This window comes from Homo sapiens, chromosome 14 (assembly GCF_000001405.40).
Source record: "Homo sapiens chromosome 14, GRCh38.p14 Primary Assembly".
NCBI lineage: Eukaryota > Metazoa > Chordata > Mammalia > Primates > Hominidae > Homo > Homo sapiens.
This window is the reverse complement of record NC_000014.9, coordinates 58,825,286-58,843,917: the sequence shown is the minus strand read 5'-3', so window position 1 is coordinate 58,843,917 and position 18,632 is coordinate 58,825,286. Positions and strand designations below refer to the sequence as shown.

The following is an 18,632-nucleotide window of genomic DNA, read 5'->3' as shown; positions in this document are numbered from 1 at the left end:
AAGTATATAATTCATCTTAAAAAGCTGCTTAAAAATCATTGTTTTTTTTTTATTTTATTTTATTTGAGAAGGAGTTTTGCTCTTTCGCCCAGGCTGGAGTGAAGTGGTTTGATCTCAGCTCACTGCAATCTCTGCCTCCTGGGTTCAAGCGATTCTCTTGCCTCAGCCTCCTGAGTAGCTGGCATTACAGGCACCTGCCACCATGCCTGGCTAATGTTTGCATTTTTAGTAGAGACGGGGTTTCACCATGTTGGCCAGGCTGGTCTCGAACTCCTGACCTCAGGTGATCCACCCACCTCAGTCTCCCAAACTGCTAGAATTACAGGCATGAACCACCTCGCCAGGCCAAAAATCATTGTTTTAATTTAACCATAGCTTAGGTCAGTGAAGCAGCAGAAATCTCTGGTGGTTTCTGGACCTACTTTGCTCGGTTAGGTACTAGAACTCCCCTCTCGCATGCAGTCTGATGTCTCTTCCAGGATATTCAGCTGCCCGTGAGTGACAATAAATTGGGTTAAATATTTTTACTACTTTTTCTCCCATTTTACTTCTATATATATGTTTATATATATATATATATATATAAACATACCATTGGTGGAGGAAAGTAGTTTTATTTTAAACTGTTCCCACTCCTAAAAAGAAAAGCCCTCTGAGAATGTTATCTTGAATTTCAGTACGTGACATTACTACAGCTAGTCTGTGGACAGAAGGAATTGGGCACATATAAATTTCTGTGCTACCCGTAGGATGCTAGCAAGAACTGCTGGACATGAGTAGAGATGGCCTGAAACTTGCTTTCTCCCTCTGGTGCACAGACCATGTGCACAGTGGGTCAAAGTTTGGGCTCTGGATTCAGACAGAGCTGAATCCGAATTCTAGATTTCCACAATATAAGTGACTTTAGACAAGTTACTTAATCTCCCTGAGTCTCCGTTTTTTTCACATGTAAAATGTGGTTTAAAATAGCTTCAGGCCTCACGCAGTAGCTCATGCCTGTAATCCCAGCACTTTGAGCCTAGGAGTTTGAGACCAGTCTGAGAAACATAGGCAGACCCCGTCTCTACAAAAAAATGGTTAAAAATTAGACAGGTATGATGGCACACGCCTGTGGTCCCAGCTACTTGGGAGGCTGAGGTGGGAGGATGGCTTGAGTCCAGGAGGTCAAGGTTGCAGTGAGCCACGATTGTGTCACTGCACTACAGCCTGTGTGACAGAGCAAGACTCTGTCTCAAAAGAATAAAATAAAATAAAATAGCTTCAAACACACTGAGTTATTATAAGGATTAAATAAAACAATCCAGAGTTTACTTCAACTTCTGGTCCAACAAGAGTTTGAAAGAAATCTTAAAAGCTGTTCTATTTGCCATAAATAGAAGGAAATTCTAAAGAAGTAAAAACACAGTAATGTCATTAAATTCTCACTGGAAACAGTTGCCTACTAAAGACTCTGAGCTTGGGTCCTACTCTCTCTTTTTTTAAATAGGAGATTTTAGGTTGTTGTTAAGGATATATTAGCACCAAACTAAGACTCTCCCTCTCTTAATAACTCAATAATAGTAATAATACCTTTTTTTTAGCAAAGCCAAGCATATCTTCTTGTTTCTTTCAAACTTATAAAGTAACCCTCCTGCTGCTGAATAAATTATAATTGATTCCAGGAATAAATTATAATTGTGGGAAAATTACCTCTTATTCTTCTCCAGAATGAAAAACCAAACCAGTGACCAGGAAGAGAAGATATGAAGAAAAATATAAGTACATCTTTTATTGTAAAAATGAATAACTATAGGCTATAGACTGAATGTGGAAGCCTAAATCCCTAGTGTGATGGTATTGGGAGGTGGGGCTTTGGGATGCGATTATTAATAGGTCAAGAGGGTGGTGCCCTCATGAATGAGATTAGTGTCCACATAAGAAAAGACGCAAAAGAGATATCTCTCCCTCCCCATCCCCACACGGCATAAGAATACAAGACAGCTCTCTGCAAACCAAAAAGAAAGCCCTCACCAGACTGGATCTGCCAGCACCTTGATCTTGGACTTCTCAACCTCCAGAACTGTGAGAAATAAATCTCTGTTTTCTAAGTCACCCAGTCTATTGTATTTTTTATAGCAGCCCAAACTGACTAAAATACTACAATAAATAACTCTAAATCCAACCCATAATAGGCTATTTATGTCTAGAATTGTGAAACGAATGCGGCTCTGTGTGTCTCTGTAACTGTGCCAAAATCTGGCTTCAGCATGCACAGGGGGCACCTCCACAAACAGAACCCTCAGTAGCTGATAAGAGCTGGCCTAGAACTCAGATTCAAACAGTTATTTTTTTCTATAACAAATCACAGCTGAAAGAATTAGGTCTACAGAAGGTTGCTACCAGACTTGATTCAAATAGGCACCAAATCTCCAGGGCTACAATAGGCCTGGTATGACCAGGTGATTGAAGACCCAATATACCACACCAACTGAGGAGGCCCCAAGCAACAACAGTGAAATACACACATGCACGTATACACACAAGGTAAAATAATGATGCAAGGACTTTCCACCAACGATGCATAAGCTATTCGAGGTATGCTCCAAAGTTTTAAGCCAGGATGGAGAAGACAGAAATTCCATACTTTTACTTTTTAAATTTTGGTCTTGATAGAAAATATATTCAAACTATAGTACCAAGTGTGCACATCTGTGAAAAAGAAAAATAACACAGTTGACTAAAAAATGAGTATGGAATCTACTTTATCAGCATTTTTAAACATAGCTCTTAAAATAATATCTAAATATAGGCTTTTCATGCCAAACTGGAGACAGATGTGCTTTAATATAATATCCTGATGTTTGTCTATTTCCTGATGACCCTTAGACTTCTAGGGTGGGCTTCTATTTTCTCCTTTGAAACAGATGTTGGTAAATGTCTGTCCCAGAACCCAAAATCCTGATCCAAAACCAGCTTTTTCTTCCTTCTCTCAAATTTATGTTAGCCAGATTCCATTCTTTGTCAGCAGCTGTAACTATAGACCATACTCAGAAAATAAAAGTAGAAATACTATGATAATTCAAGATGAAAGCTTTAATTTCAAGCATTTAAAAGGCAGCAACCTAACCGTAGTGCCAGAGACAACTCAAGAAAAGTGTAATTTTCTCCTTTATCTTCCCCAAACTGGATATTCAATAAATGCAATTTTATACAGTCAAACAGGTATAATAACTGTGCTAACTAAATGTTGCCTAGCAAAAAGCCCATTAAAGCATTAATCAATAAGAATGGCTTGAAGCTAGCATATTACAGCTTCAGCATAAGCATTGTTAGCCTCTGCAGGACACTCAAATGGCAGCTTGTCCCTAAATTACTATTTCTTAAATGCTTGAAAACACTTTGGCTCTCTTCAATAGGCAATCATTTTCCTTTGGAATCTTGTTTATAGTCTTGTTAACAGGCTTTTATTTTTCCTCAAACAACTTCTGCAAAAAAAGCCAACTTCATGAACCCTGTACAAATATCACAAATTCTAATTACTCAACTACAAATCAAGATAATTTTGCCATAATGTCTTTACAATGGCTTCTTAGAAAATTATTAATAAATCAAATCCTTTCAAAAAAATGCATCAAGAAACTAGTTAAAAGAAACCTTTGATCAATTCAAGATCTGTTTTTGACCACACAGATAATCATCTTCTAATGGACTTGTTTTCTAAGTTCAGATCTTTAGGAATGGTTTATTTTTTTAAAGGATACCCCTATAATTTTGCCTCAGCAAATCATACTTCTGTTTCCTTTTAAAGTAAGCTTTATAGGTAGGAAAAAATACTATGAAAACTTCAAATATTGGAATATTTTCAAAAGATAATCATGAGTAAAACTCAGTTTTTAAAATAATAATTTTGAAAAAATAAAGAAATTGGTTTTGCTATAAAGAGAATCTATAGCTTATCATTTCCAAAAGTTAATTTTATGCCTTTTTTTAAACGTTACTAAACCAGGAGTGTCATAATTCTTGGCATTTTATTTAACCACTGTTTTTGTACTTGTTAAAAACTGAAAATGAAGTCAGAAGCCACAAGAGAATAAAATTTCTGCTAAAAATGAGTATAATCAGAGGAATTATCATCTTACAGGTAAAAACATGTGTGGGTTCTTAAAAAAAATTGAACATAGAATTACCACATGACCCAGCAATATTATTTTCTGGTATATACCCAAAATAATTGAAAGCAGGGACCTGAACAGATATCTGTAAACAATGTTCATAGCAGTGTTATTCAAAATAGGAAAAAGGCACAAACAACTCAAAAGTCCATTGACAAAAGAATGGATAAGCAAAGTGTAGTATATACATACAATGCAATATTATTCAGCCTTAAAAAGGAAGAAAATTCTGACACATGCTACAACATGGATGAACCTGGAACACGTTACGCTAAGTGAAATAAGCCAGACACAAAAGGACAAACATTGTATGATTTCATTTACATGATGTCTGTAAAGTAGTCAAATTCTCAAAGACAAAAAGCAGAACGGTGCTTGCCAGGGGGTTGGGAAAAGTGGGGAATAGGGAGTTATTGTTTAACGGGCAAATGGTCTCAGTTCTGCAAGATAAAAAGAGTTCTGCAGATGGATGTTGGTGGTGGTTGCTCAACAACGTAAATATACTTAAAGTCACTAAATTGTACACCTAAAAATGACTAAATGATATTTTACTACAATTTTTTTAAAAGAAGAACAGATTTGTGGCATTTTCAGCTGTGATGATAATCAAAGACTTTTAAATTAGAGCTGGATGTCAAGGAAGTCGAGTCCCAAAAAAGTACACTAAGTGGTCTCTGTCAGACCCCAACAGAAATCCCCTAACATCCAAGACACTAGTATTGTTGTGTAAAGCTGGGGTAGGCAACACAGAGAATGGCCTCATTTTATTTTATTTTACTTTTATTTTATTTTTCCTTTTTGTTGAAAACAGGTTCTTGCTATGTTGCCCAAGCTGGTCTTGAACTCCTGGTTTCAAGCCATCATTTTATACTTAATGTTGGTCCTTTTTTTTCCATAATGTCATTTCATAAATGATTACTTCTTGGTAGTGGATATTTGAATAAACTTCATGTATTCCTTAATTTTTTACAATATTGTCAAAAAAAAAAAAAGAGAGAAAAAAAGCCCTTTAGGGGAGAAAAAAAATGAGTAGTTCAGAAAATCAAAGACTGAACATTTCTGCTGGAAGTGAAAGTTTGACTCAAAGGAGACAAAGGAGAGTTTAATCTTTTGTTTTTATTCAGACAGGATCTCACTCTGTGGCCCAGGCTGGAGTGCACTGACACAATCTTGGCTCACTGCAACCTCTGCCTCCCAGGTTCAAGGGATTCCCATGCCTCAGCCTCCCAAGTAGCTGGGATTACAGGTGCGTGCCACCACACCTGGGCTAATTTTTGTATTTTTAGTAGAGATGGCGTTTCACCATGTTGATCGGGCTTGTCTCAAACTCCTGACCTCAAGTGATCCATTCGCCTTGGCCTCCCAAAGTGCTGGGATTCTAGGGGGAGCCACAGCACCTGGCCAGAGTTTAATCTTATTTACATAAAATGTTAGATATAATTGTTAGGGGAAAGAAAGGAACGAACATGTATGTGTAATGTTAGATCATTTACACATCAATTTTAAAACAACATATATTTATTTAATGCTGCATAAGAATGTAGGCTTAATCCAGAATCTCTCATTCTGTGAAATGCCAGGTAATTATATCCTCATATGGAAAACGTGAGGAACTTATTGAACTGTATATTGAGATAAAGTTGAAAATGCAGCCTAATCACTCAAATTAAATATTGAGTGTTCCTTATAAATATGTTGCTAATTGATCAATATTGAAATTAAAGGTAATGGAAAGATGTTGAAACATAGCATAGCATATAGGAAAGATTTTTAATATCATATTTGGATAAATTCTGGAAAAAAGTAATCTGTAGTCCAATAAAATAGTATGTAGTTAAAAACGGGGAAAGGAAATTACAGTAGATACTGATTTAACCCCAGGGAGAGAGAAATAAGATTGACTATGTAGATGGTATAGGCCTCACAAGGTTGTACGAATGGACACATTAAACTAATGACAGCCCATCAGTTGGCATCGAAAAGTCCCAAATTATATGAAGGGCAATTTTGAGCTAGAGAGCACAAAAATAAACCCAAAGAAAATCTGCCTTGGTGATTACATTAAGACTCACATTGACAAGAGCCAGCTAGGAAATCCTAGCTTAAATGAATAGAAAAGAAAATAGGAATTACAGAGAATATACACAACATAAATGAGTGCAGGTATGAAACGAATGACAACATTTTTTTAAAAGCTTGTACATGAAGCTTAGTGGCTTTCAACTCTGTCTTTAAAAATAACATTGAAGAGTGATAATTTGAAGTATATTGAAGAAGAGTTTTAAAAATCGCAACAATAACAAAAACTCTCTGTTCCTAAAGTCCAAAAGAATATCACTGAAAAAAAATTGCTGTCTCTACAGAAACGTCGATTTGTAAAGAATTATCTTTTTATTCGTTATGGAAAATATGAATGTTTGTAACTTATAAATTCTTGATTAAAGGGAGTTACTCAGCTCACCTATTTTTTAAAAGTGTAAGAAAAATCAAAACTATAACCTTCAAAATTTCAACAGAAGTGCAATTCTTAATTTAAAGCAATTATGTTCAGGAAAAGTAATTTTAAAATCCCAAGCAATAGCAAAGCAATGCCAAGCATTTATTTAAACAAGTTGTTTCAAATAAAATAACATAGCTGCTCTTGGCAAAATTATAAAAATAATTTGTTTAGGAAATAATGCAGAATTACATGAGGGAGGGAATTAATAAATCATCTGATACAGTATTTAATAAAATGTTATCTAAAGTAAATTTAAATTAGCTTGAAAAAAAATTGTCAAATAAATTTTAAAATAGCTAACCTATTTTTTAAACAAAGGAAATTGATAAATGGCTCAGTATCCAATTCAGACAATATATTTGGCAGAAGGTCTTATTCTCTCTGGTCCCAATAAAAATTTTGTAAATGACTTGGAATGGAGAATGAACATTAGGTTATTGATATTAGTGGAAGTTCTGTTTTGAATAGGCAAAAATTGTGTTCAGATACACCAAGATGAAGGGATTGGATCTAATGCCAGAAAATTATAAACTAGAGTCAGCTTAGAAAAATGCAAGCTACCATAGTATGAGAAAAATCATTTGAAAGTAATTTAATTCCATGAGAAAATAAGGCAATTTGTAATGCCAAAGAGACTCTACAAGGAATAATAGACAGAATATTAAGTAACCACTTCAAGGGTGATAGGAATTAAAAGACAGCCAAAGCCTCCCAGTACCATTTCCATTTCTTCTTATGGCAGTCTGCCATGAGTAGATGGAAATGATTAGATAAGGTGAGATTGACAGGCCTTACCTAACTACATGGCCTGACCACTTCCATCAATGACAGCAGGAAGAGAAATGGTAAAATAGCAGAACCCTGTGGTAACTGAACTCCGCCTGACCAACATCTGATTTTTTTACTTTAATTGAGGTGGGTAGAAATAGAAAATAAGGCTGGGCATGGTGGCTCATGCCTGTAATCCCAGCACTTTGAGAGGCTGAGGTGGGTGGATCACCTGAGGTCAGGAGTTTGAGACCAGCCTGACCAACAAGGGGAAACACCATCTCTACTAAAAATACAAAAATTATCCAGGCATGGTGGCAGGCACCTGTAGTCCCTGCTACTCGGGAGGCTGAGACAGAAAAATTGCCTGAACCGAGGAGGCGGAGGTTGCAGTGAGCTGAGATCACACCACTACACTCCAGCTTGGGCAATGGAGCGAGACTCCGTCTCAAAATAAAAAAAAAAAAAAAAGAAAGAAAGAAAAAAGAAAAGAAATAGAAAATAAGCCTATTGCAGCTGGGATGGAGCACCACGTGGAGAGTCAGCAAATCTGCCACCAGCCAGCCCCCATCTCTTCCTCCGTACAACGAAGAGGATGAACTATAACATCAATGATGTTCTTCCAGCTCCAGGGCTACATGGTGGCTTCTTGGATCCTCAGAAAATAAGCTGCATTTAGAACAAAGAGCTTGTGGTAAGCTCATGAAGTATACCACTCTTTGGTAGAAGAAGTTGAATATATAAGTGGATTCAAGAAAAGCGTTTTAAACTCTTCGGGTTCTTATTAATCATTAACAGGTACCGAGTATTTCCTGTTGCCAGGCCCTATGCTAAGTACTTTACATGGATTATCTCATTTAAGGTTTAGAAAGATTCTTTGATGTAGGTATGATTACCGTCACCCCCTTACAGCCATTCACATGGATTCTCACAGAGGCTAAAAAACTTGCCTAAGGTTGCACACCTAGCAGGTGGTAACATTCCTGGACAATGTCTTCACCAGTCCTTGAGGAAAACAAGAGCAATGGCACTCAATAATACTGGTATGTTGGTTGAATAAATAAAATGACAACTGGCTCATCGCACTTGCCCACTGCCCTTTGGGAAACAACGTAGTGAGGGCCACAACCTAGTATCTGCTGAGCACACTGCTCAATGCCAGGCACAGTACTAGGCACCTTACAAATAGCCTATTTAATTCTCACAGCAACACAGGGAGATGGGTGCTGCTATTCTTATTTTACAGAAGCCAGCCTCTTATTCCTATGCTCTCATCTAGTCAGCTGCCCCAGAAATGTTGTGTACAATATTGGTGGGTTCTTGGTCTCGCTGACTTCAAGAATGAAGCCGCGGACCCTCGTGTTGAGTGTTACAGTTCTTAAAGATGGTGTGTCCGGAGTCTGTGCCTTCAGATGTTCAGATGTGTCCAGAGTTTCTTCCTTCTGGTGGGTTCGTGGTCTCGCTGACTTCAGGAGTGAAGCTGCAGACCTTCGGGGTGAGTGTTACAGCTCTTAAAGGTGGTGCATCTGGAGTTGTTTGTTTCTCTTGTCTGAAGTTGTTCGTCCCTCTCGGTGGGTTCGTGGTCTCGCTGGCTTCAGGACTGAAGCTGCAGACCTTTGTGGTGAGTGTTACACCTCATAAAGGCAGTGTGGACCCAAAGAGTGACCAGCAGCGAGATTTATTGCAAAGAGTGAAAGAACAAAACTTCCGCAATGTGAAAGGGGACCCAGGTAGGTTACCCCTGATGGCTGGGGCAGTCTGCTTTTATTCCCTTATCTGGCCCCACCCATATCCTGCTGATTCGTCCATTTTTACAGAGAGCTGATTGGTCTATTTTACAGAGAGCCGATTGGTCCGTTTTGACAGGGTGCTGATTTGTGTGTTTACAATCCCCGAGCTAGACACAAAAGTTCTCCAAGTCCCCACAGAGCACTGATTGGTGCATTTACAAACCTTGAGCTAGACACAGGGTGCTGATTGGTGTGTTTACAAACCTTGAAGTAGACACAGTGCTGATTGGTGTATTTACAAACCTTGAGATAGACACAGAGTGCTGATTGGTATATTTACAATCCTTTAGCTAGACATAAAGGTTCTCCAAGTCCCCACTAGACTCAGGAGTCCAGCTGGCTTCACCTAGTGGATCCTGCCCTGTAGCTGCAGGCAGAGCTGCCTGCCAGTCCCTTGCCATGTGTCCCGCACTCCTCAGCCCTTGGGTGGTCAATGGGACCAGGCCCCGCGGAGCAGGGGGCAGCACTTGTCTGGGAGGCTCGGGCCACGCAGGAGCCCACAGCGGCGGAGGGAGGGTCGGGCATGGCAGGCTGCAGGTCCCGAGCTCTGCCCTGCGGGGAAGCAGCTGAGGCCCCGTGATAATTCGATCGCAGCGCTGTCGGGCGGCACCGCTGGGGGACCCAGCACACTCTCCGCAGCTGCTGGCCCAGGTGCTAAGCTCCTCACTGCCCCGGGCTGGTGGCGCCCGCCAGCCACTCCAAGTGAGTGGCCACAGAGCCCACGCCCACCCGGAACTGGCGCTGGCCCCCAAGCGCCACCCTTCCTGCCCGCGCCTCTCCCTCCACACCTCCCAGCAAGCAGAGGGAGCCGGCTCCGACCTCAACCAACCCAGAGAGGGGCTCCCATAGCACAGAGACGGGCTGAAGGCCTCCTCAAACATGGCCAGAGTGGGCGCGAGGCCAAGGAGGCACTGAGAGCGAGCAGGGGCTGCCAGCATGCTGTCACCTCTCACCTCCACCTCCAGGGTACCATGGGTTCCTCACTCCACAATCCCAGCCTCAGGGCCCTCTGCTTCCTGCTTCCCTCCCCACCCTGTCTGGAGCCCTTGCTCTCTTGGTTTTGTGTGGAGCTGCCTTGCCATCCTTAATGGGGCATTGGAACCAGCCTGCTCCACGTCCTAGTATCTCACCTGCCCATAACTGTCTTTATCACTGTTGTGCACCTTTTCACAACAAAGTTACCTTGCAAAGAGGAGCTCTGGTGGCAGTCATTAAAAGAAAAAGCTTTGTTTCCCTTATTAAAGGGAAGAAACGAAGATAGAAAATGGTAGAAAAGGAAAGGGAGCTGATTGAAGGGAGTTTGGGTGCTCCTGTTTGCCATCCCAGAGGTAGAGTAGCGTGTGGCCTATACTCACAAAGAGCCTGATCAACCAGAACGTGAAACAACTTTTAATTGAGACTCAGATCCTCAAGTCTCACTCTAACCCAAGGTGACCAATCCAAAGCCGTAACCTTGTGCCCAATGACCTGCTTTTTTTTTTTTTAAGTAAGAGAGGTGAGTCCCTGGTTTTTCGCTCTGCCTATTTTAATCCCTGATTTTCTATGAGTGCTACACAAGCTATTTCTCTTCTGATACTGCAAACAGACCACCTTACAGTCATGCACCACATAACAACGTTTCAGTCAACAATGGACCACAAGTGGTCCCATATGATTATAATACCATATTTTTACTGTGCTTTTTCTGTGCTTAGATTTGTTTAGATACACAAATGCTTACCATTGTGTCATAATTGCCTATAGTATTCAGTACAGTAACATCCTGTACAGGTTTGTAGCCTAGGAGCAATAGGTCATGCCCTCTAGTCTAGGTGTGCAGGAGGCTAAACCATCTAGGTTTGTGTAAGTACACCCTACAATAATCACACAAGGACAAAATCACCTAAATGAAGCATTTCTCAGAACACAGCCCCATCGTTAAGCAACACATCATTCTATTCGTCAGAAATGATTCTATTTGTCTATTTGAAGAATAATTTTGAAAAGTACCAGGCATTACAGAAAGGATTTATCAAGAATGAAAAATGGTAAATATCTATTGAAAAATGGAGAGATTGTGCACAAGATGGGAATCACCTCAACAGAAGATAATGTCCTCAAAACAATAGCATCCCTGCTTCAAATAGCAACTCACTGCCTTCTAATTTCAATTTGCTGTGTGCAGAATTCCTTCTTTTCCAGTGCCAAATCCTGAATGAAACATGCAATAAAAATCACTGCCTGAAACATGGTGATAGCGTTTAATCCTCTGGCAACACATTAGAAAGGCTTTCAGCTTTAAACCAAGAACTGCCACACTGCAGCTTTGCTCATGAAATTATGTACTCGTGCCTTGGTTTATAAAGTCCTTTTTTATAAGCTTTCTACTGGCTAATAATGGGCTGGAGCAACTTATGTTCTCAGCCTGACAGATTCCACATTTATGAGCCTGGAAGTCCGATGCCTGGCACAGAGTTGCTGCCTGGAGGGAGTTATGCCATCTGGCTGAGCAGGTTTCAGTGTCAGGAAACTGCAGGAACCACTGGTTGGGACACCACTGTGACCAGAGAGATGACACATGGGGAGGCTTGGAGGGAGGAAAGTGAGATGGAGCACTCAGAGGCTTCTGGCAATCGTGGCCCAGATGTCTAGGGTGCAGAGTGCAAAAAAAGGAGAAGAGAACTCACAGGACATGGGATAAATCTCTCTGCCAACCAAATATGAGTGGTCATTAATTAGTGTCAACAACAGGGCTGACTCCTCTTCTGTGAATATGAAAAAGAGTGGGGAGAGGATATTGGTTTGATGTTCAAATTAAAAGTAAAAGCAGATTACAAAGAAACAAATATATACTTAAGAGACAAAACTGACTTGAAGCACTTTAATATATATTTACATGCAATTTATCTCTAAGGAAAGGTAAAGCTACAGTGGGGATAAAAACGTATTACAGCCCATTCTAATTGTGATTAAAGTAGGACTGATAGTTCATAATCTTGACTAGGTTAACCCTGACCTTCTTACTTGGTAAATTCCTGCTGTTCAGAATTAGCATGATAGGACCGGGCACGGTGGCTCACGCCTGTAATCCTAGCACTTTGGGAGGCTGAGGCAGGTGGATCACGAGGTCAGGAGTTCCAGACCAGCCTGGCCAAGATGGTGAAACCCCGTCTCTACTAAAAATAAAAATAAAAAAAATTAGCCGGGCATGGTGGCAGGCGCCTGTTATCCCAGCTACTCGGGAGGCTGAGGGAAGAGAATGGCTTGAACCCGGGAGGCGGAGGTTGCAGTGAGCCAAGGTCACACCATTGCACTCCAGCCTGGGTGACAGAGTGAGACGCCATCTCAAAAAAAAAAAAAAAAGAAAGAGCATGATAGCACATAACCTCTTTCTCAGCATTTATCACAGTTAAAAATTGTGTGTGTGTGTGTGTGTGTGTGTGTGTGTGTGTGTGTGTGTGTGTGTACTCCATGAGGACTCCATGAAGGACTAATTTTTTTCCCCCTTCAGCTAGTACCTACAAAGAACCTAACACTTCCTACTTTCCTACTAGAAAAATATTGTGAATGCAATACAATTAAATATATTTTTAAAATATTTTAATTCAGACTTTCCACTAAATATTGGTTACAATGAATGACAGCAAAAGGTGCAACAAATCACCAAAATAATAATAGTAACAACTTACGGGAAGGAAAAAATAGTATTCTGGTAAAATATCAACAACCACGGACAATGTTAAGATCCCTTTGCTTTAACATTAAAATGATTTTTTAAAATAGTAAATCTCAAAACTCCCTAATGCTACGGTTATATAATTGTAAATACCTTAACATATTATCCAATGAGCTATGTTTTCACAAGAATTAAACCAGTTTTAAACTCCTTGATCTTTATCGGCAAAGAAAATATATTGCTTTTCTCTGTCTGAATCTTTCTGTGCATATAAACCACCTTTCCATCAGCGAATGCCTCCATTCTCCTTGGGTCATTTTGCTTCAGCCCACTGGTCTTTCTGCTGTTTGATCAACCTCAGCCTGGTCCCACCTCAGAGCATTTGCACTTGCTGTCCCCGCTTTGCAGAGTTTGTCCCTTCTCTTCATTCTGGTCTCTCCAGAAAGGCTTTTCTTGACCACTCCAATGATGTTCATGCCTACTTACTTCCTAGCACACTAACTTGTTTTATTTGCTTTCTGGCACTTATCCTCATCTAAAATGATCTTATCTGTGGGCTCAGTTGTTTGTAGACCTATTTCAGTGCTCCCTTACAAGAATGCAAGGTCCTTCAGAGCAGGGGACTACATCTGTCTTGTCATGTTCACAGCCCGAGTGCCTAGCATGGTACCTGGTATGTAGTAGGTACTCAATAAATTTTAGTGAACGAATGGATGAGCAGAAAAACAGATGAGGGAGTAAATGAATCATCTTTGCTATGTAATATCAAAACAGCTTGATAACATATTCTTAATGGGGTGAGATAATAGCATGTAAAGTTGGCTATTAAAAGTATCTAATGTCAACTGAGTTGTCCAGCTGTCTAGGAACTTAATACCTCAGGTTAGCATTTACAGTCTGCATGCATTTCTTTATTTGGTTCCCACAACTATCCCATAAGTATACAGGGAAAGGACGGAGGCAGGATCACTTATGTTTTTACAGATGAAGAAACTGAGTTCAGAGAGGTTAAATTATTTTCCCAAGCCATGCATGTAACAGGCAACCAGACTAGGTCCCCAGCCTAGCCTTTTACAGCTTCGCTGCTACCCCAGCCAGTGTTTGTTTTATTTCCAAACAAATCATTCGTTATTTATTTATTCTTTCGATTAACCTAGATTGAGCATTTATGATTGTAAAGGGCTCTCTCACACACTATGCACACATAAAGACATGCAGACAACAATGTTTTTCTCTGGAAGAACAAAGTGCACAAATGACTCACCAACCTAAATATATCTGAGCTAAGAGTCTAATTAGCAGAAAAACCTCAATGTTACAAAGGTAGGTAACCTGTCTTGTGTAATAGTGGGATGGGCCTCCAGGAAAATGACATTGTAGCTCTCCCTCCAAGGATGGATAGAATTTCAATAAGGGAAAAGAAGAGAGGTGACTTTCTAAGAAAAGGGAATAAAATGAAACAAGGAAACGACTTGTTTTCGAAATCTAGTATGGAGTTAATTGAAGGAAGTGTTTGAATAGAAGGGAAACATTAGAGATAAGACTAAAATTGATGTTAAATGACTGTTGCTGTTTTTTGCCTTTAACATATCAAAATGGGTTCTTTTGACCCTTGCAAAATGCTAAAGCAGTTGCCATAGAAATACAGTAGTCATATGCCATAGAGGAAGCTAGGCATCTCAGCTGGTGGCAGGGCCAAGACAATTCATATTAATGCCTCAAGGTTCAAAATTTTCAAATTAAGAGAGGTTTATGGTCCAATTTATTAATGTTTAAAGTTTGAAATTAATATTTACAGTTTGAAATCTTTAATGTTTAAAGTTGAAATTTAATGAATTAAATGCTTGGTAAGAAATATCTACTTATGGTTGAATATATATTTGCACCCAGAGAACGTTAATTTAACTTTCATGAAAGTAGAAAGTGAGAAAAATATTTAAATTTGCTTGAAAAAAATGTAATAACAAGGAATATTTCTATGATTATCATTTAGTTAGTAAGACCTCATGTCTATACATCTAAATAGATCCACAGAGATATAGGGGCATTGATAAATAATGAGAGATTAATAGTAGTGATAATAATTATCTGAGAAACAACAGTGATTATTGTTCAGCTTCTTGAGCACCTAATACACGCCAGTTAACTTATACATATTCTTTCTAATGCTCACAAAGACGCTATAGGCTAGATAATATTATCCCATTTCATAGGTGAAAAACTGAGGCTTATAGGGATTAAGAAATTCACCAGAATCACTCCAATGGTAAATAGAGACACTGAGCTTGGACCCATATTTAACCCACCACAATTCTTTTTTGCCTACTATGCTGCCTCTGGAATACTGCGAAGCATCTAATGGGCCTTGGTAAGGCTTTCTTTCCTTTGTCTGGAATAATGGTTCATAAATATTATAACATACAGATAAAGCTCAAATAATGTACCATTTACGGGATGAAACTTAAGAGCTCTAACAAAGGAATTAAAGAAAATAATACCGCTGACTTTGCCATCCGCGGGGCCGTCGTGGGAGCGCAGCGGGATGTGCCCCGGAGCTGCAGCTTGAGGCCCTCAGGTCTCTGGAGGTGTCGTGGAGGAACCTAGCTCCTGCCATCCTCTTCCCCCAGTTTGCCACTTCCAGCAGCCTTAGCCCATGAGGACGATGTGAACGGGACTGAGTCAGGAGCTCCCCGGAAGCATGGAGACCGTGGTGATAGTTGCCATAGGTGTGCTGGCCACCATCTTTCTGGCTTCGTTTGCAGCCTTGGTGCTGGTTTGCAGGCAGCGCTACTACCAGCCCCGAGACCTGCGGCAGCGCTATGATTCTAAGCCCATTGTGGACCTCATCAGTGCCATGGCGACCCAGTCTGAGCCCTCTTAGAACTGGATGACGTTGTTATCACCAACCCCCACATTGAGGCCATTCTGGAGAACAAAGACTGGATCGAAGATGCCTCGGGTCTCATGTCCCACTGCATTGCCATCTTGAAGATTTGTCACACTCTGACAGAGAAGCTTGTTGCCATGACAATGGGCTCTGGGGCCAAGATGAAGACTTCAGCCATTGTCAGCGACATGATTGTGGTGGCCAAGTGGAACAGCCCCAGGGTAGATGATGTTGTGAAGTCGATGTACCCTCCGTTGGACCCCAAGCTCCTGGACACAGGGACGACTACCCTGCTCCTGTCTGTCAGTCGCCTGGTGCTGGTGACAAGGAATGCCTGCCATCTGACGGGGGGCCTGGAGTGGATTGACCAGTCACTATCAGCTGCTGAGGAGCATTTGGAAGTCCTTCGAGAAGTAGCCCTAGCTTTTGAGCCAGATAAAGGCCTCCCAGGCCCTGAAGGCTTCCTGCAGGAGCAGTCTGCAATTTAGCGCCTACAGACCAGCAGCTAGTCCTGAAGACCCCTGCCGCCATCACTGGGTGGCTCAGATTAGCCTTCCACTTTTTCCTGTAGAATTAGTTGTTCTCCACGGCTCAAGAGTTCAGCTGTGTGTGCATAGTAAAGCAGGAGATCTCTGTCAGTTTGTGCCTCTGTTGCAATTGCAAATTGTGGCTTGTGAGTGGCAGTCTAATACCACAGTTAGGGGAGATGCCATTCACTCTGCACAGAGGAGCATTGAAAACTGGTGGACTGTCAGCTTCATTTAGCCTACCTAGTGTTTTCAAGAAAATTGAACCACCATCTAAGAAATCAAGAGGTTTCACATCAAAATTAGAATTTCTGGCCTCTCTCGATCAGTCAGAACGTATGGCAATTCTCATCTGCTTTTCAGAAAAGGACAATCAATCGAAGCTAAATAGGGGTTGCTCCTTTTGGCAAGACTTGTACTCTCTCACCTGGCCTATTTCATTTATTTGTATTATCTGCCTGGTCCCTGAGACGTTTGAGTCTGTCCTCCCCCTTACAGGTTTGGGTTTGAAGATGAGAACTACAAAGCTGATTATTTCTTATCATTATGCCTGCAATTTTACCTAGCTACCACTAGGTGGATAGTAAATTTATACTTACGTTTCCAAAAAAAAAGAAAAAATAAAATAATACCATGCAATATAAAGCTTGTGCAAGCAAGCAAACAAAGAGATTTTAAAAATCATTCTTAGTTGATGGGCGATTTGATAGTCATTTATACCTGGCACTGGTATAAATGAGAAAATAGATGCCCAGTTTTATTATGATTTAATTATTTTATTCTACTACTAGCACCACTATAAAAGCAACGTAGTTTCAATATGACCAAACCAAGATTAATAAATTACTCAATAGTCATCATTAGTAGAGGGAAAAGATCTTAACTGGTATAAATTATTAAATGCCAAGATAGCAAGTCTGAAAAATTTAACAAGGGGTATAACTGTTTCTTCTTGAAGATTCTTCACAATAGAGAATCAAGACTATGTAATTTTCAGTTCATTGCAATTAGCTTTAGGACACCTTTAAAACCTAAAATGAATATTTTGTGGGTAGTATAATTCATTTCAATAAAGCCTCCTTCAGTATAATTCATTTCCATAAAGCATCCTTCATTTACATGTTATTTGGATACCAATTGGGCAGGACCTTCCTGGGAGGCAATGCAGCCTGGTTGTTAAGAAGACAGATTTGGCCGGGCGCGGTGGCTCACGTCTGTAATCCTAGCACTTTGGGAGGCCGAGGCACGTGGATCACGAGGTCAGGAGATCAAGACCATCCCAGCTAACACAGTGAAACCCCGTCTCTACTAAAAATACAAAAAATTAGCCGGGCGTGGTGGTGGGCGCCTGCAGTCCCAGCTACTCGGGAGGCTGAGGCAGGAGAAGGGCGTGAACCCAGGAGGCGGAGCTTGCAGTGAGCGAGATCGCGCCACTGCACTCCAGCCTGGCTAACAGAGCAAGACCCCGTCTCAAAAAAAAAAAAAAAAAGAAGACAGACTTGAGTTCCCATTCGTCCCCATCAGTTACTAGCTGTCTTAGCACACAGTAGATAACTTTCTAAGCCTTAGTTTTTTCATCTGTGTGAAAATGATAATAACAGAATCTACCCCATTGGAATTGTTATAAGGATCAGGGAAGAGAATACAAGTGAAGTTCTTATTTCAGTGCCTGGCCAGAATGAATCTTCAATAAATATTTGTGGTTGCTCTTTTCATTATGGAAAGGCAGAACGATGTAGCAGAAAGCACATAAGATTTGGATTCAGACATACCTTGGATAGGATTAAAAAGGCCCTATTCAGTTACTTACTATTTATGGAACTAAGCAAATGCGGAACTGTTGTCCAGGAATGGAACCTTAGAAAGGCTGAACTCTTTCTTGGAGGGGGAGAAAAGTAAAACCAGGATGGATCTCAGGGAAGGGAAGTAGATTTTTTTATAGGAAAGACATAATAATGTACAAGTTATCATATTAAATCTTTTTTTTTTTTTTTTTTAAGAGACAGAGTCTCACTCTGTCACCCAGGCTGGAGTGCAGTGGCGCGATCTTGGCTCACTGCAACCTCCACCTCCCAGGTTCACCCACCATTCTCCTGCCTCAGCCTCCCGAGTAGCTGAGACTACAGGCACACTCCACCACGCCCGGCTAATTTTTGTATTTTTAGTAGAGACGGGGTTTCACCGTGTTAGCCAGGATGGTCTCAATCTCCTGACCTCGTGATCCACGTGCCTCAGCCTCCCAAAGTGCTGGGATTACAGGCGTGAGCCACCGCGCCCGGCCCATATTAAATCTTGAAACTTGACCAAAATATTCCATTTTTGAACAGAAATAAAAAGACATACAGCAGGAAGCT

General features: G+C 40.5%; 1 long non-coding RNA gene and 1 pseudogene across 1 annotated transcript in view; one reads left to right on the top strand and one right to left on the bottom strand.

The window, feature by feature from the left end:
* The window catches only part of LINC01500 (long intergenic non-protein coding RNA 1500), a 189,041-nt gene extending 173,411 nt beyond the window's left edge, over nucleotides 1-15,630 (bottom strand). Inside the window, exon 1 of the long non-coding RNA NR_110547.1 lies at nucleotides 15,363-15,630. This is a non-coding gene — a long non-coding RNA (long intergenic non-protein coding RNA 1500). The remainder of the gene's footprint in view (nucleotides 1-15,362) is intronic.
* TMEM98P1 (TMEM98 pseudogene 1) lies at nucleotides 15,402-16,436 on the top strand (annotated as a pseudogene).
* The last annotated feature ends 2,196 nt before the right edge of the window (nucleotides 16,437-18,632 follow it).